The sequence below is a fragment of the Homo sapiens genome, chromosome 15, assembly GCF_000001405.40.
Source record: "Homo sapiens chromosome 15, GRCh38.p14 Primary Assembly".
Classification (NCBI taxonomy): domain Eukaryota; kingdom Metazoa; phylum Chordata; class Mammalia; order Primates; family Hominidae; genus Homo; species Homo sapiens.
The window spans coordinates 34,311,120-34,338,283 of NC_000015.10; the positions used below are offsets into that span (position 1 = coordinate 34,311,120).

At 39.7% G+C, this 27,164-nt stretch overlaps 1 protein-coding gene across 11 annotated transcripts in view, besides 5 other annotated features; it reads right to left on the reverse strand.

Moving 5' to 3' along the window:
* Positions 1-26,938, reverse strand: part of SLC12A6 (solute carrier family 12 member 6) — a 108,274-nt gene extending 81,336 nt beyond the window's left edge. For 5 of the 11 annotated variants that reach the window (XR_931960.4, NM_001042497.2, XM_006720793.5 and 2 more), the window contains exon 1: positions 25,291-25,897. Coding sequence is in view for 10 of the 11 variants with exons in the window: in NM_001042497.2 (NP_001035962.1) it covers positions 25,291-25,561 (271 nt within the window). In the remaining variant the exon portion in view is untranslated. Of the gene's footprint in view, positions 1-7,441; positions 7,702-25,290; positions 25,898-26,212; positions 26,663-26,841 lie in introns of those variants that run through there. The other 6 variants (XM_047433396.1, NM_005135.2, NM_001042495.2 and 3 more) reach the window with 5 other exon arrangements.
* Positions 23,050-23,099: an enhancer, noted in NCBI's record as "active region_9176". NCBI's record gives its function as "activates an Ori minimal core promoter by ATAC-STARR-seq in GM12878 lymphoblastoid cells {active_cell/tissue: GM12878}" and the evidence as "EXISTENCE:reporter gene assay evidence [ECO:0000049][PMID:35858748]".
* Positions 24,727-24,776: an enhancer, noted in NCBI's record as "active region_9177". NCBI's record gives its function as "activates an Ori minimal core promoter by ATAC-STARR-seq in GM12878 lymphoblastoid cells {active_cell/tissue: GM12878}" and the evidence as "EXISTENCE:reporter gene assay evidence [ECO:0000049][PMID:35858748]".
* Positions 24,837-24,906: an enhancer, noted in NCBI's record as "active region_9178". NCBI's record gives its function as "activates an Ori minimal core promoter by ATAC-STARR-seq in GM12878 lymphoblastoid cells {active_cell/tissue: GM12878}" and the evidence as "EXISTENCE:reporter gene assay evidence [ECO:0000049][PMID:35858748]".
* Positions 25,108-25,227: an enhancer, noted in NCBI's record as "active region_9179". NCBI's record gives its function as "activates an Ori minimal core promoter by ATAC-STARR-seq in GM12878 lymphoblastoid cells {active_cell/tissue: GM12878}" and the evidence as "EXISTENCE:reporter gene assay evidence [ECO:0000049][PMID:35858748]".
* Positions 26,517-27,076: a silencer, noted in NCBI's record as "silent region_6278". NCBI's record gives its function as "represses an Ori minimal core promoter by ATAC-STARR-seq in GM12878 lymphoblastoid cells {active_cell/tissue: GM12878}" and the evidence as "EXISTENCE:reporter gene assay evidence [ECO:0000049][PMID:35858748]".

The following is a 27,164-nucleotide window of genomic DNA, read 5'->3' on the forward strand; positions in this document are numbered from 1 at the left end:
TGCTATAGGTCCATTTCTAAAAATTTCCTTAGAACCTTATTTTAAAGGAGAGAAAATCTTCTAAATGGCAATCTGTGTCCAGTGAAGGCAAGTTTATCAATTCAAATCTGCCTAATCCATAGGCAATATAAGATTTGAGGAGCAGGGGAGAAAATCTCGAACAATTATTTCACAAAAATACTAACCATAATATTTATTTTTATTTTTTAATACATATATTTTTAGGCTAGCCAAGTGAAGCAGTGGAAATAAATATTTAAATAAATGAATGAATGGAAATTCATATCTGATTAAGTAAATGCAATAATCAGTAAAACTTTGTTATATTGGTCCTATTTTTAAAAATCACAGTTTCGATAATGCTCACATCAAAATCTGTGGCTCAGGCACATTAAGATATAAAGTAATCTCTTCTTATTAGTAAAAAGCTAGGATTTGGCATCATGGTATAGTGGAGAGCACAAAGAATTTATAAGTTGAACATTGGCTCTGCTACTCACCATGTGGCCTGAGGCAAGTCACTTATTCACCAGCCTCAGATTATCACTAAAAAGGCAATAACCACCCACTATCCCACAGAGTGGAGAAAGGATGAAATTAATAACACTTCCATAAATGGCCTCAATCTACCTCTCTCCCTCATCTCTTATCTCTTTACCACATGCCCAATGTGCTAACTGCCCTAAACTTTTATTTCCCATGTGCTATACCCTGCTCTCATTCCTTTGTATTGTTCTTTTTATCATTGCCTCTAAACCTTCCTGCAAGAATTGTGTCCCTTCCTCTGAGATACCTGTCCAGGGTCCCGTCCAGTTAATATTATTATTCTATCATCTGTTATCCAAATCTGTTTCTTTTTCTTATTAGACCACTAAAAGTAGTTCTTATTTTTGAGTGCTGTCACATATGTATTAAGTGCTTTATAGATGGTACATAATCCCATGTAATCCTCACAACCACCCTGTAAAGCAGGTGCTGTTATTCTCTGTTTTATCAGTGAAGGAAAGTAGTCCTTGAGAAGTTAAACAGCTTGGCAAAAGTCACTCAAGTAATAATTAATAACAAATTATCACTACTAATAATTAGTAGGACTGGGATTTAAAGTGAAGTCTCTGACTCTCATTCTGCTGCCTTTGGTGGGGATCCTCCCGTACATCCTATACTTCTGTAGCCTTAGGAAAAAAGTAAGTACAATACCTGACATATTTATACTGAACATGTGTTTGGTGAATAAAAAAGGCAGGGAGCATGTCTTACTCACTGAGTTGCTTATTATGTGCCATATTTTTACCTTAGGACCTGGAGATACGAAAATGATCTGACGAAGTCCTCAAGGAGTTTATAATCAGTGTACCAGGGGAGAGAATCAAGTAAACAGATTATTATAATACAGTGTGTGGTTAAGTACTGTTTCTGAGCACACGCTGCTGAGAAAACAGAATGGGTAGGAAGAAAACAGTCAAGAAAGACGTAAGGAAAGTCCGAGTTTCTGCTTTTCCCTTCGAAACCCAGGGTTTTGAAATTAAGCAGGGTTCTAATATACAGGCATACCTTGTTTTATTGTGCTGTGCTTTATGGTGCTTCACAGATACTTTGGGGTTTTTTGTTTGTTTACAAATTTAAAGTCTGTGGCAACCCTATGTCAAGCAAGTCTTTTTAGTGCTGTTTTTCCAATAGCATGTGCTCACTTCATGTCTGTCGCATTTTGGTAATTCTTACAATATTTCTAACTTTTTCATTATAACTATACTTGTTTATGATGATCTGTGCTATTGAAATTGCTGTTACTATTGAAATTGTTTTGGGGCACCATGAACTGTGCCCACAGAAGACTTAATCCATAAATGTTGTGTGTGTTCTGACCACTCCATCAACCAGCTGCTTCCTTTTCCCTCTCCCTCTCCTCTGGCCTCCCTATTCACTGAGACACAACAATACTGAAATTAGGCCAGTTAATAAACCCACATTGGCCTCTAAGTTTTCAAGTGAAAAGATGTTGGACATCTCTCACTTTCAATCAAAAGCTTGAAATGATTAAGCTCAGTGAGAAAGGCATGTTAAAAGCCGCCAGGCCAAAAGCTATGTCTCTTGCACTAAAGAGCAAGTTGTGAATGCAAAGGAACAGTTCTTGAAGGAAATTAAAAGTGCTATTCCAGTGAACACATAAATGTTAAGAAAGCTAAACAACCTTATTGCTGATATGAAGAAGGTTTTAGTGATCTGGATAGAAGATCAAACCAGCCACAACATTCCAATATGCAAAAACCTAATCCAGAACAAGACCCTAACTCTCTTCAATTCTATGAAGGCCAAGAGAGTTGATGGGGGTGCAAAATAAAAGTTTGAAGCTAACAGAAGTTGGTTCATGAGGTTTAAGGAAAGAAGACATCTCCAAAACATAAAAATGCAAGGTAAAGCAGCAAGTGCTTTTACAGAAGCTATAGCAAGTTATCCAGAAGATTGAGCTACGATCAATGATGAAGGTGGCTTCATTAAACAACACACTTTCACTGGAGAGGAAGCAGTCTTATGTTGGAAGAAGATGCCATCTAGGACCTTCATAGCTAGAAAGGACAAGACAATGCCTCGCTTCAAAGGACAGGTTGCCTCTCTTGTTAGGGGCTAATGCAGCTGGTGACTTTAAGTTAAAGTCAATGCTCATTTACTGTTCTGAAAATCCTAAGACCCTTAAGGACTATACAACAAGCCAGGTGTAATGGTGCACATCTGCAGTCTCAGCTACTAGGAGGCTGAGATAGGACAATCACTTGAGCACAAGAGTTCAAGGCTGGCTGGGCAACATAGTGAGACTCCTGTCTCTTAAAAACGAAAAAAAAAAAAAAAGGTTTATGCTAAATCTACTCTGCCTATGCTCAGCGGAACAACAAAGCCTGAATAGCAGCTAATCTGTTTACAGCATGGTTTATTGATTTTTTTTTTTTTTTTGAGACGTAGTCTTGCTCTGTTGCTTAGGCTGGAGTGCAGTGGCCCGATCTCAGCTCACTGCAACCTCCGCCTCCTGGGTTCAAGCGATCCTCCTGTCTCAGCCTCACAAGTAGCTGGGATTTACAGGCATATGCCACCACGCCCAGTTAATTTTTGCATTTAGTAGAGACGGGGTTTCGTTATGTTGGCCAAGCTGGTCTCGAACTCCTGACCTCAGGTGATCCACCCACCTCGGCCTCCCAAAGTGCTGGGATTACAGGTGTGAGCCACTGCACCCAGCTAGTTTACCGAGTATTTTAAGCCCACTGCTGAAACCTACTGCCCAGGAAAAAAAGATTTCTTTCAAAATATTACTGCTCTTCAACAATGCACTGGTCACTCAAGAGCTCCGATGGAGATGTACAAAGAGATCAATGTTGTTTTCATGCCTGCCAGCATAACATCAACAACAGCATCTTTGATCCATCTGCAGCTTATGGATCAAGGAATTATTTCAACTTCCAAGTCTTATTACTTATGAACTACATTTTCTAAGGCTGTAGCTGCCATAGATAGTGATTCCTCTGATGGATCTAAGCAAAGTACAGTGAAAATGATTCACCATTCTAGACGGCATTAAGAACATTTGTGATTCATGGGAAAAAGTAAAAATATCAACATTAGGCTGGTGAGTGCAATGGTATTTACAACTAACTGATCATAACCAGTTACAGATTCCTTTGTTCCTTCTCTCACTCCTACTCCTTCACTTGACCAGCCTTAAAAAAAAAAAAAAAAAAATCAACATTAACATTGGGAAGAAGTAGATCCTAGCCCTCATGGATGACTTTCAGGGGTTCAAGACTTGAGTGGAGGAAATAATGCAGATATGGTGGAAATAGCAAGAGTACGAGAATTAGAAGCAGAGACTGAAAATGTGACTGAATTGCTGCAATTTCATGATAAAACCTGAATAGATAAGGAGTTGCTTCTTATGGTTGAGCAAAGAAAGTAGTTTCTTGACATGAAATCTGCTGATGAAGATGCTGTGAACACTGGTGAAATGGCAACAAAGGATTTTAGAATATTCCATAAACTAAGCAGCAAGGTTTGAGATGATTGACTCCAATTTTGAAAGAAGTTCTGTGGGTAATATGCTATCAAACAACGTTGCATGCTACAGAGAAATCTTTCATAAAAGAGTCAATTCATGCAGTAAACTTCATTGTTGTTCTATTTTAAGAAATTGCCACAGTTACCACAACCTTCAGCAGCCCACCCTGCAGCAGCCATCAACATTGAGCCAACACTCTCCACCTCCACCAGCAAAAAGATTATTACTCACTGAAGGCTCAGATGATCATTAGCATTTTTTGGTAATAAAGTATATTTTAGAGCCAGGAATGGTAGTACATGCCTGTAGTCCAAGCTACTTAGGAAGCTGAGGCAGGAGGGGAGGATCGCTTGAGCCCAAGAGTTTGAGTCCAGCCTGAGTAACATAGCAAAATCCTGTCTTTAAAAAAAATAAAAATAATTTTTAAATTAAGGTATGTACACTGTTTTTTAAAGACATAATGCTATTGCACACTTAACAGACTACAGTATAGTATAAATAAATATCATTTTTATATGCAGTGGGAAGTCAAAAATTCATGTGACGGCCAGGCGCAGTGGCTTACGCCTGTAATCCCAGCACTTTTGGAGACTGAGGCGGGCGGATCACGAAGTCAGGAGACCATCCTGGCTAACACGGTGAAACCCCATCTCTACTAAGAATACAAAAAATTAGCCAGGTGTGGTGGCATGTGCCTGTAGTCCCAGGAGGTGGAGGTTGCAGCGAGCAGAGATCACGCCACTGCACTCTAGCCTGGTGACAGAGCGAGACACCATCTCAAAAAAACAAAACAAAACAAAAAAAACAACAATTCATGTGACTCATTTTATTGCAGTGGTCTGGAACTGAGCCCACAATATTTCCAAAGTATACCTGTACCTTTTCAAAAAATTAGATTATCTACATTCACACTTCTATTTTATCTCAAATTCCTCATCTGTCCCGTTCAAATAAATCTCATATTTAAAAAACACATTTTAAAGGATGATTTACATTCTAAATATGTTCAATTTATATGACACTACATATTTTTCTCTCCATATAAATTCAGAAGAAAAAACAATGAAAAATGCTACTGGTTATATAACTGGCCAATGTTGGAAGTGCTTGTGAAAAAACCATGATCAATTTAAGATTTTTTTTTTTTAACTTAGGAGAACAAGGGGATAAAGCTCATTGCATGAAAAGCAACTGCTCCAAAAAATCATGTTATCTTCAAAAATATTTTACTCCTAGGTTTAAAAAAACAAATAACTTTTAGATTGTTCTGACATACATTTCCCTCCTTCCTACCCTTGAATTTAACCTTATAATAAAGGCAAGTGCAATTTAGATAATATACTACCAGCAGTTGTTCACTTGCTAAGCAATAGTTTATTCAAGTAGGTATTTTCTGGGCTGTTATGGAAAATGCCAAAGTAAAAATGCTTATTAAACTCAATTTAGATTATATCTGTCACTTCTTCCTTGTTAAAAGCAATTACTATGGAAGAAAATAAATTACACCTAATAATGTCCACTCATTACAAAGTTGGGTACTATCAAATTTTTATGGCTTTTACAGGTAGTTGCTAACAGATTGAATGATTTTAACACTCTCTTATAATCTGAAGAAAGCAAATTTCTGCAAACATAATGGGACTAGTAAAGATGAAATAATAAAAAACAGTAGAGGTGGTGGAGAAAGCAAATTTAAAAAACAAATGAAATGAGGTACAGATGGACTTCGTTTGCAGCTTATGAAATTAACGAAGACAACAGCAAAGACAAAAGCCTAAAGGGATTAAACTGTAAGGGTGGAAAACATAAGCAAAGAAGGTGCAGCTTCAAATACACATTAGCCTTACTATCACATTTGGGATTAAGTAAAAAATAAGTAAATAAATAAATACACACAGGCCTGAGACAGAACCTAATTGAGCTGAAGTTGAGTTGTAGAGAATCATATTCAAGTTCAAAGCAGATTAAACTTGCTTTCCACTTTCCATCATCCTATTCAGCAAAATGAAAATAACCTTGCGGACAAAGAGTTTACATAAAATCTTTTTTCTGATATTCCCCTAATAAATTATCTCACTAGAAGGAAAAAACAAAAGGAACATTTTCCTTAAAAGTTTGCATCTTCAAACAAGATTCATAAAAATTCTCGAATGGTTTTAAGAAAAAGATAACCAACCGCTATTGACACCAAGGAATTGCAATGTGTTACATGCTATAAAGGAAAGTGAGAATCACAGAATCACGGAATTAAAAGTAACTTTGAGGCCGGACGCAGTGGCTCACACCTGTAATCCCAGCACTTTGGGAGGCAGAAGCGGGGGATCGCTTGAGGTCAGGAGTTTGAGATCAGCCTGGCCAAAAAGGTGAAACCTTGTCTCTACTAAAAATACAAAAATTAGCCGGGCGTGGTGGCAGGCATCTGTAATCCCAGCTACTCGGGAGGCTGAGGCAAAAGAATCGCTTGAACTCGAGAGGCGGAGGTTGCAGTAAGCCGAGATCACCCCACTGCATTCCAGCCTGGGTGACAGAGAAAGACTCCATCTCCAAAAACATAAATAAAATAAAATAAAAGTAATTTTGAGAGCTTATTCCCTTATTCTTAATTCATATAACTAAAGACGCTGCTCACGATTTACAGACTTGAAAAATAAGGGGCTTCAAATTACAACTATATTTAATACTATAATATTAACAAAGATTTAATTGCTTGTTTAAAAATTCAAAACCACAATTCCTCTAGCAAGTGTGAACTGTTACCATTTAAAGAAAATAATAGGGATAATCACATTCATCAAATACTTTTTTTAACCTGATGCTATGCTAGTCACCACAATGACCATCTCTTGTACTTTTGTTCTGCCATTAAAAAATTCTTAGACCATTCATTATTGAATTATAGTTTAAGCTGGTAAACTGAGGTAAAATACTGAATAACCTGAGAAATCACAAGTACAGTCAAAGTCCACGGTACAAAACTACTGAACCATGCTCCCTCTTTATATAATATTATGTAAACTGCTAAGTTTAAATGTCATCCACTCGGTGGGTTTAAAGTCTTTTCCAGATATAATCTAAACTGTGAGGAAAAAGTGAATTCTAAATTCCACATAAATTGACTTCTGTGTCTTTCTTTTTGCTTGAAAACTCTTCAAACATTGCCACTGATTCAGTTTCACCTGTTGGTAATGAACACAGAACTCATTGTGGGGAAAAACAATCCAGTGTGTGAGAAAAGTAAGAGAAGCTATCAGATACACAGGGGAGTGAAATAAGTAACTGAAAAACACCTCAACCACAACACTTTTCTCTGTCCTAAAGAAGGCATTTTGAATTTTGATATCCTAGTTACTTCTTTCATGAAACATTTTATAGGTTCCAAAAGCTCCCAAGTTGCGTACTCACCTGGTTCATCTGAATCCTGAATCCGGGCTTTTATGTCTGCTAAACTAGGCTCTTGAGAGATCGAAGCCGCTGCCCCCTCCTCTGGGTCCTCTACCTTAGTCACAGTAAAATGTGGCATTGTTATAGTTAGATAATACTTTGCTCTTTCTGTATTTAAACTTCCTTCCAGTTAGTTTTCCCTGCCTACCTCTTCCTTGCTGTCGTTTCAGACTGTGATCCCTGCCTACAAGAGACAGTGGCTGGGATTCGGGAAGTACTTTAAGCTCACGTGACCTACAGCCCTGAGGGAGTGGGGCGCTTGAAGACACGCCTTCCACAGTGTTTATCATTCACTTAAAAGGATTAAGCACTCCACCCTTGCTTATTGTTATTAACCTGAAGAACCCCAAGAACAGTTTAGCCTGCTTCCCAAAGCTGCTGAAACCTGGAGACTGGACAGAATTCACAGTGAACTACTGTCTACCGCTTGCTCCTCTATTTCCTTCACTGAAGTTGTCATTCTTATCTGCATGTCATGATCTCAACCTCTGCCCTCATATTTCACACAAGAAAGATTAGAGAACAGTTAACTTTTTTTTTTTTTTTTTTTGAGACAGGGTCTCGCTCGCCCTGTTGTCCAGCCTGGAGTGCAGTAGTGCGATCTCAGCTCACTGCAACCTCCGCCTCCCAGGTTCAAGCGATTCTCCTGCCTCAGCCTCACGAGTAGCTGGGACTACAGACATGTGCCACCATGCCCAGCTAATTTTTTTTTTGTATTTTTAGTAGAGACGGGGGTCTCACCACGTTGGTCAGGCTGGTCTCAAACTCCTGACCTCAGATGATTTGCCCACCTCGGCCTCCCACAGTGCTGGGATTAACAGGCGTGAGCCACCGTGCCCAGCCGGGAATGGTTCATTTTTATACTGTCCTCTTTAAAGACTGACTGGCACTATATCAACTTAAAATATGAAAGATACGGCTGTGCGCCGTTGCTCACACCTGTAATCCTAACACTTTGGGAGGCCAAGGTGGGCGGGTCACCTGAGGTCAGGAGTTCAAGACCAGCCTGGCCAACATGGGGAAACCCTATCTCTACTAAAAATACAAAAATTAGCCAGGCGTGGTGGTTCATGCCTGTAGTCCCAGCTGCTCAGGAAGCTGACACAGGAGAATCCCTTGAATCCAGGAGGCGGAGATTGCAGTGAGCAGAGATTGCGCCACTGCACTCCAGCCTGAGCGACAGAGCGAGACTCTGTCTAAAAAAAAAAAGAAAGAAAAAGAAAAAAATATATATGTTTAAAGAGTTCAGAACTTTTGTATTGTACAGAGTGGTTGTTTCAAAGAAAAAAAAAAAAGTCCCAGAAAATCCCTTTAAGTGGCGTACAGTTCCTTTAGCATACCCTTAAAATAACATACTTAATTCTTGATATAATTTATCAGACAACTGTATCAAGTTCTCAGCTGACGACTTTAGAGTATGAGGTTCTACCTCTGTACTTAGCAGGGGAGTTCAGTAAATTGAGCCCTGTGTAATGTCCATATTGATGATGTAGTATAAGGCCTCTGTTATTGGGAATGCCTTCCATCTGACAAGTAAGGTTGTGCTAAATTTAACTGAAGCAATGATGCTTTGAATTCTTAGTCATTCAGTTATATACCACTTCTTGCAGCACTATTCACAACAGCCAAAATATGGAATCAACTTAAGTGCCCATTAACACATGAGTATATGAAGAAAATGTGGAATATATATACAACAGAATACGATTCAGCCATAAAAATGAAATCATGTCATTTGCGGCAACACGGATGGAACTGGAGGTCATTATGTTAAGTGAAATAAGCCAAGCATAGAGAGACAAATATCACATTTTCATTCATACGTAGGAGCTAAAAATGTGGATCTCATGAATATAGAAAGTAGAATGGTTGTTACCAGAGGCTAGGAAGGGTAGGGGGGAAGGAGGATTAAAGAGGAAAAAAAGAAGGTAAATATAAAAGCACAATCACGTTGATAACTGATTTATGCTAGCAAGAATACTGGCCTTGTTTTGGAATAAACAATTTTTTTTTTTTTTTTTTAAAGAAAAAGCTAGGCTGGGTGAGGTGGCTCATGCCTGTAATCCCAGCACTTTGGGAGGCCGAGGCGGGTGGATCAAGAGGTCAGGAGATCAAGACCAACCTGGCTAACACAGTGAAACCCTGTCTCTACTAAAAATACAAAAATCTTAGCCAGGCGTGGTGGCGGGCGCCTGTAGTTCCAGAAGGCTGAGACAGGAGAATGGCATGAACCTGGAAGGTGGAGCTTGCAGTGAGCCAAGATCACGTCACTGTACTCCAGCCTGGGCGACAGAGCAAGACTCGTCTCAAAAAAAATAAATACAATAAAATAAAATAAAATAAAATAAAGGAAAAGAAAACCCTACAAATATATACCACTTCTAAAAGAGAAGGAAAGCAATAAAGACCTAGTTTGTACTCTGCATTGCACTAGAAACTTTACATCACGATCTCATTTAATCAACACGAAAACAGAAACATTAGACTAAGAAACTTGCCCAAAGTCACCATTGTAAGTGGTGAAACTCAACTTTAAAACCTCTAATGCCCTGAGGTAGGCAACATAGAGTATGTTTCAAAGAAAGAAAACTCATATACACTCACCTAAATTTTATTTCATTGGTTCTTAATAGCACTGGTTTGGCTGCACAGGTTCTCTCCTACGGTGAACTATATATAAAAGTGCAGGGGCATAGAAAATTGAAGGCAAAGTTAAAGTAGTACAGAAAAAGCTGAGAGAAAACTAGTAAAGCTGAGGTGTGTGATGTGCATGGAGAGTGATTAAAGAAGGTGGGATGTGAGAAATAGCTATTTAAAGTACAATACACTATCACAATGAGGTTATCACTACACTCACCAAGATGGCTAAAATTCCTAAGACCAAAAACACCAAATTTGGCAAGACTGTGGAACAAAAAGAACTTTCATACACTGTTGTTGGGGGTATAAATTAGTACAACCACTATGGAAAAGGGTCTCACACTTTCCCCTATAATCTGGCAATTCCACTCATAGGTATTTACCCTTAAAAATGAAAATATATTCCCACAAAAGGACTTGCACAAAAATGTTCACAACAGTTTATTCATAATATCCAAAAACTGGAAACATCTTAGGTATACATTCACAAGAGAATGGATAAAGTGTGATATAGTCATACAAAGGATTACTATTCAGCAATAAAAAGGAATAAACTAGATATGTTCAACAACATGCATGAATCTCAAAAACATTACGGCTAGGTGAAAGATGCTTTAAACAGAAGAGTACATAATATGTGAATCCACTTTTATAAGGTTTTAGAACAGACAAAACTAACCTATGATGCAGAAAAAGCAGGACAATGGCTGGATCTGGAAGAATGGAAATACAGATTAACTGGGACTGGGCCTGAAAGAACTTCCTAGAGTGATGGTAATATTCTACATCTTGATGGGGTTTAGGATTCCACAGGTGCATGCATTTATCAAAACTCTGCCAATGTTCACTTAAAACTCGTGCCTTTGCCGGGCGTGGTGGCTCACACCTATAATCCCAGCACTTTGGGAAGCTGAGGTGGACGGATCACCCGAGGTCAGTTCGAGACCAGCCTGACCAACAGGGAGAAACATTGTCTCTACTAAAAATATAAATTAGCTGGGCGTGGTGACACATGCCTGTAATACCAGCCACTGGGGAGGCTAAGGCAGGAGAATCACTTGAACCCGGGAGGCAGAGGTTGCGGTGAGCCGGGATCATTCCACTCCAGCCTGGGCAACAAGAGTGAAACTCTATCTCGAAAAAAAAACAAAAACAAAAACTCGTGCCTTCACTGTACGAAAAGTTTACCTCAAAAGAAAAAAAGCTGCAGTTACTGAATTCTAATTCATAATTATATGAATTCTAATTTATAATTCATAATAATGCATTGTGAAGTATTTGTGGGAGGTGAACTGATTCTGCAATTTACCTTAAAATGCATACAATAGGATAGATGGACACATATGTAAAAAGACAAGTATAATAAAATGTTAATGATAGTATCTAGGTGGTGGGTGTATGGGTGTTCACGATGAAAGTTTTTCAAGCTCCTGTATGCTTGAAAATTTTCATAATAGGCTGGGCGTGGTGGCTTACACCTGTAATCCCAGCACTTTGGGAGGCCAAGGTGGGCAGATCACTTGAGGTCAGGAGTTTGAGACCAGCCCAGCCAACATTGTGAAACCCCGTCTCCACTAAAAACACAAAAATTAGCCAGTCGTGATGGTGAGCGCCTGTAACCCCAGCTACTCGGGAGGCTGAGGCAGGAGAATCGCTTGAACCCAGGCAGGTGGAAGTTGCAGTGAGCTGAGATTGCACCACTGCACTCCAGCCTGGGCGACAGAGTGAAACTCTGTCTCAAAAAAAAAAAAAAAAAAAAAAAAAGGAAAGAAAGAAAAAAATAAAAGAAAATTTTCATAATAAAATGTTGAAAAAATACAATGGACACCATTATGAAAATGAATAGGCAAGTCACAGACTGGGAGAAAATATTCATAAAACATATACTTGACAAAGGAGATCTGTATCTAGAAGACATAAAAATTCCCTACGCCTCAATAATATGAAGACAAATAAAATGGGCAAAAGATTTAAACAACTGACAAAGGAAGATATGCAAACCACTAAAAACCGCTGAAACAGTGCTCATCCCTGGCCATCAGGGAAATGCAAATTAAAATCACAATTTAAAACAATGGTCCCCAACCCCTGGGCCATGGACTGGTACTGGTCCCTGGCCTGTTAGGAACGGGGCCCGCACAGCAGGAGGTGAGAGGCAGGCAAGCATTACCGCCTGAGAGCCGCCTCCTGTCGGATCAGCGGCAGCATTAGATTCTCATAGGAGCGCCAACCCTATTGTGAACAGCAATTCCGAGGGATCTAAATTATGTGCTCCTTATGAGAATCTAATGCCTGATGATCTGAGGTGGAACAGTTTCATGCCAAAACCATGCCTGTCCCCGACCTTAGTCTGTGGAAAAACTGTCTTCCATGAAACCAGCCTCTGGTGCCAAAAAGGTTGGGGACTGCTGATTTAAAAGACTGTTGGCATCCAGGCATGGTGGCTCAGGCCTGTAATCCCAGCACTTTTGGGGGCCAAAGTGGAAGGACTGCTTGAGCTCAGGAGTTTGAGACTAGCCTGGGCAACATGGCGAAACCCTTTCTCTACCAAAATTCAGAAAAATTTAGCCAGGTTTGCTACTGAATACCTGTAGTCCCAGCTGAGGCAGGAGGATTGCTTGAGCCTGGGAGGCTGAGGCTGCAATGAGCCCTAATTGTGCCACTGCACGCCAGCCTAGGTGACAGAGTGAGATCTTGTCTCAAAAAAAAAAGACTTTTGGTAAAGATGTAGCACAAACATTGGTGGGGAGTGTAAAATGGCACAATCATTTTGGAAAAAGTTCCAGTAGTTTTTTTATAAATCAAAAACATATGCCTACCCTAAGACCCAGCAATTCTTGTTCTCTGTATTTTTACCCAAGAGAAATAAAAGCGTAAGTCCACAAAAATTCAAACAAATATGTATATAACAGCTTTATTCATAAAAACCCAAGCAGGAAACAGCCCAGATATCCATCAATAAAATAATCAACCTGCAGTACATGGCATACGATGAATTATTATTCAACGATAAACAGGAATCATACAGGTATGAAATATTTACATTTGTATACTTTAAAAAAATTATGGTATTTTTAAGTAATAAGATATAAAGGTCAGGCCAGGGCAAAAGGGGCATTTATAATGGCATTACTCCCATAGTGCTTTATATATTAGGCCAAATCTTACACATATTGTATTTATGTTATTAATTAGTTTCAGTAAAACACATTATTTGTGACTATATTATACCTGCTAAAAATAGTTAGCATGCCCATTCTTCAGAGGAATGGGTCTATTTTGGGGTAGTATTTTGATACTGCAACTTAATATGTTACACTAGCATAGCTCAGAACTCATAATAACCACTGTTCTGTTTTATTAAACCCATTTATTAAAAAAAAATTTTAAGTTAGATTTAGTGAAAAGATTGAAACAATTAAGGGAAAGTCAGTGGGAAATTATTTTCAATATAAGGATTCTCTATCAGAGGGCTACCGGTAGGGAAAGAGCACTCTATATCCCATACTCCGTACCCTCTCGAGTGTGGTATCATTTAGAAGGTTAGGCGAACATGAAAGGATGTGAACCACTGTTTTAGAACACTGCTTTGCAAATTATCTCTGGTAAAGAACTTTTTTTTTCTTTGAATTTCCAATTCATTATGGGCCAATAATTTTGTTAAAAAATAGTAAAAATGAATTACTAGAAAAATAAAATAAATATATATCAAATATAAGCCCCAATTTGTTATTATTAGATTTGACAGACATAAATTTGTTCTATCAAACTGCTATGCAAGTTTCTAAAAACTCAATTTCTGAACTTATCTCCTCACAAATAATAAACAGCTCATGGGCCAGCACTGTCTCGTACTACACTCTGAATAGTTCTGTGTTAGAAAATGCTATAAACATCTTACAGGAGAATGAGCTGTTCACCACTTACATTTAGGGCTACTACTATAGCAGAGCCTGAAAGGTATAGTCTCATTCTTAAGTAGAAGATGTATACACATTTTCCTTATTTATCATATTCAGCAAACCCTCTTATCCCTCTGCAACTGAGACAGGAAATATTAGTGAAAAATATAAAAAAGATCACAAATTCTAAATTTTGCCTTACTATGTATAAAATTATTAAAAGAATTGAATGCATCAATTACTTTGGTAAAGACCAACTATCATGGGATGGTAAGGACTTACAGCTTAAGTCTTTTAAATCTTGACTTGAAACTGTCTATGAAAATGCATTTTTATGAAATGTTATCAGTGGTGAATATATAATGAATTTGGAGGCTAAAACTAAAAATAGAAGAATTAAATGTCATACATCAGAAATGAAACCCTGAGTAACTGAATGTCTGTGTTCATAGCTGCCAGTGCTACCTCTTTGGTTGGTGATTTATATATTTATAAATATATAAAAGACATTATTTTCTGGTGGATTCATCATATTGTAGAGTAAGAAAGGCAAAGAGTTCTCCAAGTTAAAGCCTCAGGAAAATCTCATGCTTTAACTGAGGCTGAAAGGATCATGCATTCACTCAATAATATTTGAGTGCCCACTAAGTGCCAAGAAATAGGAATGAAATGGAGAGCAAGACACTGTTCCTGCCCAAGGAGCTCACAGTCTTATTATCCAAATTAACTATAGACTCAAAGGCAATACAAAACTAGGATTATACGTCCAATGCACTATAATTAGAGAATGAACCTTGAGAACACAACACACCACCACCTGCCCAGCTACTTTTTCAACTTCCTAAAAGTTGTGTCTTCACTAGAGGAAAGAATAGAGTAGGATAGTTGATGGCTAGCTAATTTGATAGCTACTTCAGCCATTTTGGCCGCTGATCCAAATACCAAAGCAGGCATTATCAAATGCCTCTGAGTCCTCAGTTGCCACTGTTGCCTCTTTCAGCATATCACAACTCTTTATAAAAGGTTGCCACCTTTTTCCTTAGTCTAATGTCAATATAGCCCAGGTATGACAGATAGGACCTGAGAATCCCAACCAAAGAGGGTAGCACTGGCAGCTATGAAGACAGACATTCAGTTACTCAGGGTTTCATTTCTGATCTAAGATATTTCATTCATCCATTATGAAATGCTTGCTAGATTAAAAACGGGCTCCTAGTCAACACAAAAAAAGTGTATAGAAAATAAACCTGACATTAAGCAACATATTGTTAAAACTAAGGACATATTTCTAAAAATGTGAGGAAAGGAAAATGAAAACACAATCCAAAACAAAATTTTTTAGATCTATTGAGACTTGGGTCAAAATCTTCATTAGCTTTAGGACAGAATGATTAATGTAACTAAATCAATAACTGTTGATGTAACTCAGCACTACTACACTGCTCTAGGCACATAATTTGTGTAAAAGACAATGAAATACCTATTCTTATGCCAGATTTCTTTTTACGAACATAGAATCTAAGTTATTCAGAGAATATGTCATTTTATTACTTTTTTTTTTTTTTTTTGATACAGGGTCTTGCTCTGTCACCCAGGCTGGAGTGCAGTGGCATGATCATGGCTCACTATAGCCTTGACCTCTCGGACTCAAGCAATCCTTCCATCTCAGCCTCCCAAGTAGCTGGGACTACAGGTGCACACCACCACAACTGGCTGCTTTTTTTTTTTTTTTTTTTTTTTTTTTTGTAGAGATGAGGTTTCACTATGTTGCCCAGGCTAGCAATTATGTCTTAATAAATGTTTCAATAGGGCCAACTATTATTAGCATACCAGAGAAAATGCAGTGTAATGACAAAAATTCTGGTCTTGGAATTACATGTGCCTAGGTTCAATCATTATTCTTCAACTTATTATTTGTATGACCTTGGGCAAGTTACTTAACCTTATCAACCTCAGGTTTCTCCTGGATAAGAAAAATTTCATCTTAGTACAGAATAAAATGACTTTTTAAAAAATGAAAAAATACCAAAACTGATCATTTTTCAAAAGGGGAAAGAACTGACCTCATCTAATAGGGAAGAATATTTTTCTATTCCTATCAATTCTTAAAATTTCATTTGAAATGTAGCATGCTGCTGAACCAGAAAAAAATAAATAAACCAAACATAATCTTTTGTTTGCATCTTAGGATGTAAATTAGCCAGCTGTAAAAAAGGCTGTTAAAAAAACAAACAAACAACTTTAGCCAGGCACAGTGGCTCACGCCTGTAATCCCAGCACTTTGGGAGGCCGAGGCAGACAGATCATGAGGTCAAGAGTTCGAGACCTAAACATGGTAAAACCCCGTCTCTACTAAAAATACAAAAATCAACCGGGCATGGTGGCATGCGCCTGTAATCCCAGCTACTCAGGAGGCTGAGGGAGGAGAACTGCTTGAACCTGTGAGGCGGAGGCTGCAGTGAGCCGAGACCGCATCACTGCACTACAGCCTGGGCAATAGAGCAAGACTCTGTCTCAAAAAAAAAAAAAATTAGATATGGTAAATGCAAATGCTCTCAAAATAGAATAAAAGTAAATTTTGGTTAGATTCAATTTCTCATAGCTCCTCAAAGTGAAAACGTGGATGTGTACATAAGAGTTTTTAACTTATTAGTGTTCTCTCTTCTCTCTTTTTTTAAACTAGCAATATGAAAAATAAATAGCTTTACCCCAAAGTAAATGTAGACCTGTCTGGTAAAATGAGAGAAATTCAGGTGCTACTTTGCCAAAAATTAAAGTTATTTACCAAATGGTTATGACTATAAACAGGTGAATGTCATCAATTGAGTTTTTTGCTCAAGGCCACGACAAATATAATGAGGATTAGCAATGCCGTAATAAAACTACAAACAAAAAGCTGCCATTGGTTAAATTAGCTAGAAAACTGGAGACTGAAACCCAGCTCTGAGCTAAGATAACAGGAAATTTTAAAAAGAAAAAAAAAAAGACTAAAATTAGAAGACCTGTCATTTCCTAACAATGTGGCTTTTGTTTTCTATTTCTACAGTTTTCAACTACAAAAACTGAAATTTTAAGAAGAAAAAAACTTCAGCCGTTACATTTTTTTCAGTTAAGACATCCAAAGGTAACTTCAAAACTTCAGGTTTCGCAAAGCCCCTCAGACTGACTTATTTACAATACTGACTTGATTCTGAAATCTTGTTAAGTATAAATTCCACTTTAACAGTAGCTTAAAAATTCTTCAAAAGTAAGACGCACCTGAATATCAGAAATGTTAAAATATGGTAATGTACACACCTTAGAGCTGAGCAAATATGGTGATAGTGTTTCCTACTCATCAGGTACTGAACTACCATTAAGGCAAGGTGCTGTATGCATGTGTATATGTTGTATGTTCTGCAGTTTTGTGCTTGTACCTTCAAATGTAATTGTTGAGATTCTTAAAAGTATACCAGGGCCAGGTGCGGTGGGTCACACCTGTAATCCTAGCACTTTGGGAGGCCGAGATGGGCAGATCGCTTGAGCTCAGGAGTTCGAGACCAACCTGAGCAACATGGCAAAACCCCATCTCTACCAAAAGCCAATACAAAAGTTAGCTGGGCATGGTGGTGCATGCCTGTAGTCCCAGCTACTCAGGAGGCTGAGGTGGGAAGATGGCTTGAGCCCAGGAGTTCAAGACTGCAGTGTACTACAGTTGTGCCTCTGAATAGCCACTGCCTACCCAAGTCCAGCCTGGGTAACAGAGCTAGACCCTGTCTCAAAAAATAAAAACATATATACACTGAAGCACTAATTACAGGGTTTTAACAGAGAATAGCTTCTTGTTTTTCCACATACTTGTAAAACTTATAAAACTTCATTAAAAGAATACATTGTTTTAACATTCAAATGCTCACATAATTCCTACACTATAGCTCTCCAAACTTTCATACCTACTCCTCAGAAACACACATCACCAAAAACTTAAACTCATGTAACTTCATTATTCTGAAACAACAAGCTCACCAGCTACAGCTGTGTAGACAGTGCACGAGGGCATTAAGCCAGAAGGGCAAGGGGAAGAGGGTTGAAATCCAGCTTGCCCTTCTCCAGTGAAGTCATGATGGCTCAGGGCACAAAGGAGTGCCTTTTTAGAATTTGCACAAAGTTCTTAGTAGTCCAGAAGTATATGTTAGACACGAAGGGCAAAAGAAGCAGCAGCCATAATTCAAAAGCTTACAGCATTATAAGTTGCCTTAAACATCAGCATTAGAAACATTCCCCTTCTTCTAACAGCTTTAAAATGGGAAAGCATAACTTTCATAAGGTTCCCAGGTTTGCAGGAGTACCTTCTTTCATTTCCTTCCATTCCAGTAAAGGTAATATCAAAATTTATGAGAATCTGGAATCTAGAAACATGCCACTGAGAACAAAAGAATTTGGGCTCATGATGGAAAGACTTAGTGAGGACACAGAAGAGACCACCGAAGATCAAAGACAAGAAGTTGAGGTAATCACTGTATTGATCACTGATATTTAATCAAATATCTACAGCATTCTAGGACACACTCAAAAGAAAATCCTTTAATTGTAATTTAACCTTTTTAAAAATTGGCCAGGCATGGTGGCTCATGCCTGCAATCCTAGCACTTTGAGAGACCCAAGTGAGAGGATCACTTGAGCTCAGGAGTTCCCAGACATCTTCAAAGATAAAAGCTAAGAAATAGTAAAATGTACCTTTTACTCTACTTCAACAAATTATAAACATTTGCTAATCTTGTTTTGTCTATCTCTCCCCAACTTTTTTGGGGAGGAGTGGGGAGGAAGGAGCTGGAGTACATTTCATTTAACCTGTAAATACTTCAATATATATCTTTATAGATAACAGCTTTACATTATCACAATGTCATAAACATCTATAAGAAAATTAACAATTCCTTAATATTAATATCATGTACATGTTCAAATTTCCCCCACTCGTCTCAAAAGTATCTTTTTTCAATTGTTTTATGCACATCAGAATCCAAACCAAGTTCACACACTGCATTTGGCTGATACGGCTCTTTTTATCTGTAACAGCTTTCCCTCTCTTCCCATCACTCCTCCTCCACCCCATCCCAATTATTTGTTGAAGAATCTAGTTATCCAATAAAACTTCCCATATTCTGGATTTGGCTGATTGCTTCTTGTGGTATAAAGCAGTATATTATAAAGTTTAATCTGGCTACAGAGTATAGAGAAGAGAGGAAAAACAGTTAAGGTATATAACCAGCTGGGCGCGGTGGCTCACGCCTGTAATCCTAGCACTTTGGGAGGCTGAGGTGGGCTAACTGCTTGAATGCAGGAGTTCGAGACCAGCCTGGGCAACATGGTAAAACCTTGTCTCTACAAAAAAAAAATTAGCTGGTCATAGTGGTGTGCACCTGTGTTCCCATCTACTCAAGAGGCTGAGGTGGAGGACTGCTTGAGCTCAGAAAGTTGAGGCTGCAGTGAGCCGTGATCACACCACTGTATCCAGCCTGGTTGACAGAATGAGACCCTGTCTCAAAAAAAAAACAAAAACAAAAACAAAAAAAACAAAACTATCAAGAGGATGCTTCTTTCAGACAAGCTAAGAAGGTACCAAATCAACATATTTTAGCTATTAGAATGCTGAGGTAAAACATGGATAGTATTCAATAATTATATAATATAGAAGACTTATTTAAGAGAAAGGTAATAGTCCATCCTGGCCAACATAGTGAAACCCTATCTCCACTAAAAATACAAAAATTAGCTGGGTGTAGTGGCACGTGCCTGTAGTCCCAGCTACTGGGGAGGCTGAGGCAGAAGAATCACTTGAACCCAGGAGGCGGAGGTTGCAATGAGTGGAGACCGCACCATTGCACTCCAGCCTGGGCGACAGAGTGAGACTCTGTCTCAAAAAATAATAATAACAATAATAATAATAAGTAATAGTCACCTATGATTAGCAAAACAATATAATTCACTTATTTTGGTGTGTGACTAAAAATGATAATTTTGTTTTTTGTTAGGTTTTGTTTGTCAGGGTAGAGGTATTTATTTATTTGAGACAGAGTCTCGCTCTGTCATCCAGGCTGCAGTGCAACTTCCGCCTCCCAGGTTCTCATGCCTCAGCCACCTGAGTAGCTGAGATTATAAGCATGCACCGCAACACCTGGCTAAGTTTTCATATTTTTAGTAGAGACGGGGTTTCACCATGTTGGCCAGGCTGGTCTCGAACGCCTGGCCTCAAGTGATCCGCCCGCCTTGGCCTCCCAAAGTGCTGAGATTACAGGCGTGAGCCACCGCGCCCAGCCTAGAGGCATTTTTTGAAAAGCTCTCTAGATCATTCATTATGCAGCCAGATGAAGTAGCACTACTCTCGTACATACATTAATATGCCTTTATCAGAGTACGTTTTTAATTTGTCTCTTGTTTTTAAGTCTACAAGATCTTCAACTCAATGTATATTTATGGTGTACAAGTTATATGTGATATCACATATTACACTAGGTGTAAATGATTTTGTATCCTTGTCCTCAAGAACCCTACAGCATAGTTGAGAAAGATAATATGTAAATAAAAACAAAATATAGTGATATAGGTATTATAGCAATATAGGGACAAAAAGAGCCTGGTTTATTATATCTGGATATGGGGTTCAATCAGAAAAGGTTTCAGAGAGGACATGACTCCTTAAAGAAAGGACTTATCTAAATTACTTTTATGTCTCTAACATCTCTCACAAAAACTTGGTTAACAGCCAGTCTCAAAGTTGTTACACTTAGACCTCAACTCTCCACTTCAGAAACCCACTCCAAGGCTACACACTAGATCACATTACATGAGAAATGCTCTACCTCTGAAATTGCTCACTCCAACAACATTCAACCGTCTGACCACAGTCTTTAATCTTTCTACACTTTTCACCACACTTTACCTTATCAAGTCCTCCAGTCTCTTAAGTGTCTCTATTTTATCTTAGTTGATCATTTTCCTTTGCCGTATTTTTGCATATTTCTATTGTTGGACTTATACAGCATTATAATTTATATACAAATGTGTTTGCTTTGTCTATTAGATCATAACTTTCCTTAGAACAGATTAACGGATGCTTTTTCTCTGTCTTTAACACCCAACATCTTTAACAGCCAGCCAGTGCCTTATCCTTAACTCATTGCTCAGAGTAACAAATATTTGGTGAAGGAATAAGTAAAGTGCTCTAGTCATTTTCACCATTATACCATGAGATCTGCAAAGGTAGAAACTATATGTTACCTGTATATTTCCTACAATTAATACCAGACTGCCTCATACATACCAGCGTCTCAGGGAGTATCTGTTGACTTATAAAAGGTTGAAATGTATTAGGGACTGCAGGCAGGGTGTATGGTTCACACCTGTAATCCCTGAGCTTTAGGAGGCCGAGGCAGGAGGATCATTTGAGGTCAGGAGTTTGAGACCAGCCTGGCCAACATGGTGAAACCCCATCTCTCCTAAAACACAAAATTTAGCCGGGTGTGGTTGCAGATGCCTGTAATCCCAGCTACTTGGGAGGCTGAGGCTGGAGAATCACTTGGACCAGGGAGGTGGAGGTTGCAGTGAGCCGAGATAGCGCCACTGCACTCCAGCCTGGGCGACAGCGCGAGACTTTGCCTCAAAAAAAAAAAAAGAAAAAGAAAAAAAGTATTAGGTCCTGCAAATGACATATAAAAATATGTTTTATAGCCACATGGTTATAAAGCACATGTAAAAAATGTTCATCATAGCAGAGGCAAAATGATGCAAGAAAGAGCACTAGATAAAAGTCAGGAGGCCTGAACTTCAGTCTTGGCTTTGCCACTTTGTGATCTACAAATAACCATCTCTATAAGCCTTAGTTTCCTCATTTATTTTGTTATTTTTTTAGTCTAATCTATTGGGGTTTTAAGTCTCCTCACTTATTAAAATGTGGTTTGATCAGAATAAGATTCTAGATCATTAGCTCTAACATGTGGTGCTTTTCAAAAAAATTACTATAAAAGTGATACACTATAAATACTTAAAAGTTGTATATGCCCTTAATTGTTTTGGTAAAAGAAAATTCCACTCTATTTTTTTTTCTTTTTCTTTTTTTTTTTTTTTGAGACAGAGTCTCGCTCTGTCACCCAGGCTGGAGTGCAGCGGCGTGATCTCAGCTCACTGCAACCTCCGCCTCCTGGATTCAAGCAATTCTCCTGTCAAGGCCTCCCGAGCAGCTGGGATTACAGGCGCACGCCGTCACGCCTGGCTAATTTTTTGTATTTTTAGTAGAGACAGGGTTTCACCGTGTTCCCCAGGCTGGTCTCGGACTCCTGAGCTCAGGGAATCCACCCGCCTCGGCCTCCCAAAGTGCTAGGATTACAGGCGTGAGCCACCGTGCCTGGCTCCACTCTATTTTTGTAACTCACTTTCCAGAGGCATCCACTCTCAACAGTTTCTTTTGTATCTTTAAGGCGTTCTTCATACATAAGCTAATACACTGCTAAGATTCTTGATTTTACCAACTGGACAGTCCTATAAATTCAAATGGAGCCTTGCCAAAATGAAAGAAAAATTACTTTGATAGCAGAAAGAAAACTACTCAGAAAGCCAACAGCAGAAAAAATTAAAATATACTGAAATAAGTATTTAAAACTTCATGTAGGGCTGGGCGCTGTGGCTCACGCCTGTAATCCCAGCACTTTGGGAGGCCAAGGTGGGTGTATCTCCTGAGGTCAGGAGTTTGAGACCAGGTTGACTAACATGATGAAACCCCATCTCTACTAAATACAAAAAATTAGCCAGGTGTGGTGGTGCATGCCTGTAATCTCAGCTACTTGGGAGGCTGAGGCAAAAGAATCACTGGAACCCGGGAGACAGAGATTGCAGTGAGTGGAGATTGCGCCCTTGTACCCCAGCCTGGGCAACAAGTGTGAAACTCCATCTCAAAAAAAAAAAAAACAAAAAAAACTTCATGTGTCACCTCCTGTTTGTGTGATGTAATGTGAGTAGAAGACATATGACAAGAAACTTCGGGTGGGAAGTTTCTCTACAGGAAGAAACGTGGGAGGCATGGGGGAAAGGAGAATCATACTAATGTCACAACCACAGAAGGATGTACAAAGGGTGAAAAAATTCAGAGAACTGTAAATACTAAAATAGCAAACTAACTGTGAAATGCACTATGAGCTTAAGGAGAGTCAACTGTAGAAAGGATGCAGTTGTTATCTATATTAAAGCCAGCCTAGAGGGAAGTGTATATTAACATTAGGCCCTTTTCTTCACAACAGCACCCTTTGAAGATCTACATCTAAATCTAACAAGGGCTTTCACATACTGAGAAGTCAAGGGTGAAATAATTGTGTTTCTAAGTGGTTTCTTCTAATGGTGGGGAAAATTTATCACATGATGACAGTCATCATAAGAATTTTTTTAAATATAGAAAGAAAAAAAAAGAGAAAAGGTAGGTCACTGAGAAAGTATAAAGTTCCACGAGAATAGGGCAAAGTCCTCTCTAATGGCCAGACTATTAATTTCCCTTTCATCTGGGTACCGGAGAATATTTAAACATTAAGTAAGGAATGTGTTATATAGAGAACCAAGCTTTTAACATCTGTAACCACGTAAACAAACATAAATTTCACTTAGATATGTCCCCATTTTTACCCCTGTAGTCCCATTTTTACCCCTATAGTGTAAAAGGATACCACTTTAGACTGTAAAGAATGCTTAAGGGTAACGTAAGAACCGCAGACTGGACAAGGAACCTGTTCTGCTGGTCTAACACATTACTAAGTCCACTTTTCCAAAGAATAAAAATACAATTCTGTAACATGTAAGTCACAAGTCTAACAAACTAAACTATAAATTACCTAATGATAATTACAATATTAAGAAATTAACACTGGTATAGTCTTTACCTGGAATTTTTACAACCTAAATACAGCATGATGGATAAAAACTAAAACCACAATTTGGAATTAATTTGGAGGAAGAGGAAATGATAAATTTGTATTCCATACTGTAATTTTAATCCAGTGTATGACACACTGTAAAATTTGTCAAAAAGTTGAAAACAGTAAAGTCTGAGAACCAACCTATGTCTCCATAAAAGAAAAAATGATTAGTCAAGGATGAGTGAATTCTAGGACTGTAAACTTTACCAAATCTACCTTGTCTCCAGATACTAAAAACACAAACAGAATTAGGGAACTAAAATCATTCTGGTTTCCTGAACCCTTTAGGTTAAAAGGAACAATATTTCCTGACACCGGAAAATGGTGAGTAAGCCTTGCTTTCACAAGTCAGTGGGTGAGGCTATGGTTTTCAAACTTGGGTGGAATATTATTTTAAGAGTCTTTAAGGGAAATTTTTATCATTAAAAGATTACATTAGTTACAACACAGCATAAAACTAAATATATAAAGCAGTACAGGTCTCAAACTTTTAAATTTCAGAGTCCAAAAAATGTTATGATCTCCCCATTTTCTCTCTTCTCTCTCTTCCATCACCTCTTCCCAGTACCTCAAATAAAACCAAGCCAGCTGACACACACAAACTGGTTTAGGAAGCTAAAGGTCTGTAGCAGTCAACATGAGCCAGGAGTGGCTTGTGTGCTACCTGCTAACTCTAATCATCAGACTTTCCATCTAAAGCTCAGAGAGAATAAATTACATGGGAATCAGGCCCTAAAAGCCTTTTCAGAAGTCTTCCATTTGACAGAATAGCACATTAGGTCTACCCACCATCACCCTGAGTGGGCTTAGCTACTTGTGTCAAGGTCTCCATAAAAATACAGATTTCAAAAAAGAATTTTGCAATACACATTCGAAGTCTTGGAGGAAAGCTGCTAAGATACGACCAGTAACTACTCCATGAAACCAGTCTTAAAGCAGACTGAAATAGCCAATGATGGCTACAGAACACATATCCAACTCACTAAATTTTAAAATTTAGGATTCTGTGTGCTGAAAACGATTACATTCTTTGATATTCACTTTTAACCAAAATACCCATTTCATTTCTAAGAAGACAAAAATGAGGAAGTTAAAATATACATTTGCCTTCCTTCTTGTCATACACCTTCCCACATACCAAATTACTACTGCAAAGAGCCACTATGCTATTATTCCAAAGAGTTCCTAAGCATCTCACAAAGAGATGCCTTGGTTCCTGATGACTATTATAATCATAATTATATGATTATGATCTTCCAGATCCATAGATGGTCATCTTGGATAAAGAACCCAGTAATGAAAGTATGCTGCGGTCTGTGTTTCTACTTACCCTCGATGACATCCTGGGGGTGAGAAGTCCGGTCACTGGGTGGATCCAGTGCAACAGTTGCCAGCGAAGTGGTGGCCCCAGACATCTCACTCATAGGCTCACTCCGGCTTGTTTCAGGCACGCTTTCCCGGGAGCTAAATCTTACTCGGGAACTAGATCGAGAGCTGAGGTCCGGACTGGTGTCTGACAAACCTGGAATGTCATCGATCTTTGTCGGTGTCACCATGAACCGAACTGAAGCCATCTTGGTGGTGGTTTCTGGAGGATGCATTTTGTTCTTTTTAAGAACAAAAAAAGTGGGGGGAACCTCGCAAAATCTTCCTCTTACGCTAGCTACTTTTGACTGCAATACAAAAGATAACTTGAAAAATAACACATTTCAATAACCTTGATTCACACCACACAAAAAGCCCCAACTAAGAATACTTCTACTCAGAATTCAAGCCGACTGTCCTAGAAAGTGCATCACCAATAGGTGAATATATTTTTTAAGAGAGAAAAAAACAAAAAACAAAAAGACAAAACAATGCCAATCTTGTGTGACTTCTTTCCTTCAGAATGAAGAGCTACCTAGCTAACCCCTCTGGTCCGGGGCTGAAGGCTCAGTGCCATGGTCTCAGGGCAGCAGATGAAGCCTCCCTCCCCTCAGCCCCCAGTTTCCTGTCGAGGTAGTCCTTTATCTGGTGAGTGTCCCACGGTTCTAGTTGGGCGAAGTGCGTGCAGGCAAACCTTTATCAGGCGACTATAGCGTGGATCAGATTGCTAAAAGGTGTACACCCGGCCACCTGTTGTGTATCAGGTGAATACCCCACAGGTCTGGCTGGGGGGAGGTGTATGCAAAGCCACCCGGTGTTTTTGATGTCGACAATCCACTTGGGTCTGGTGGGAAAGGTGCACATGCATAACGGGAAAAATAACCCACACTACTGAGAGAAGGGTGAGCAGAGGAGGATGCAGGGGCAGAGCGGATTCCTGTCTCCGAGAGGTCGGTGGGGGTGGCGCGCCCGCTCTTCTCCTAGCAGAAAGGTCCTCGGGGTCTGGGAGGAGGTTAGCGGATCAAGACACCTCGGACTGCAGCTCAGAGTCGTGGCAAGTCGTAGCTAGTCCACTGAGCCACGGTCCGCTCGCTAGGTTTCTCCTGCGTGTGACAGGACGAGCCACCCCCTTTGCCGGAGGCGCGTTCTCCCCTACCCCCGCCCCGGCGCAGGTCACCCCCTCGTCGTTCTTCCTCAGGGTCCCAGTAGAGGAGGAGACGGCCACGCAGGCTGGCCTGACTGGGCAGCAGGGTGAGGGAGAAGGAGGTCGCAGGTGCAGTATCCCGGCGCCAGCTGATGCGGGTGCGCGCGCAGCTGTTGTTTACTAGCCGGTAACTGTTTCAGAGCCGCGGCGCGCGCAGGGTTCGCGCTGCCGGGGCTGGCGCCCCCTCCCCGGCCCGACGCCAGAGCAGCAGTTACGTGACCTGGCCTCCCCCAGCCCCGGGCCCGACGGGGTGCGCCCGCGCCGCCGCAGCCCTTCCCTTCCCTCCCCGCTTGTTCCTCATTCGAGGTGAACCTTGCGAAGAGAAGCCCGGGGGTGCAGTGAGAGGGCGGAACCGTCCCGCGGGCGCCCGAAAGCCCCGCCCAGCCGCCGCAGCCCGCGGTGACCGAGTGCAGCGCGCCTGCGCTCGCCGCGGGACACGGCAGGCGGGGCGGGGCCGAATACGAGTGGCCAGGGGCACGACGGGAGCTGTAGTCCAGGGCACGGCCCGACCCGCGTGAAGAGGGGAATAATCCTTTTCCTCGGTCCGGCTGTGCTGCACACTCACTCTGGAAGCATCCTAGAGGGCGGGCGCTGCTCCTCACCCTCAGAACCCGGGGAGCCATTTCTCTTTCATG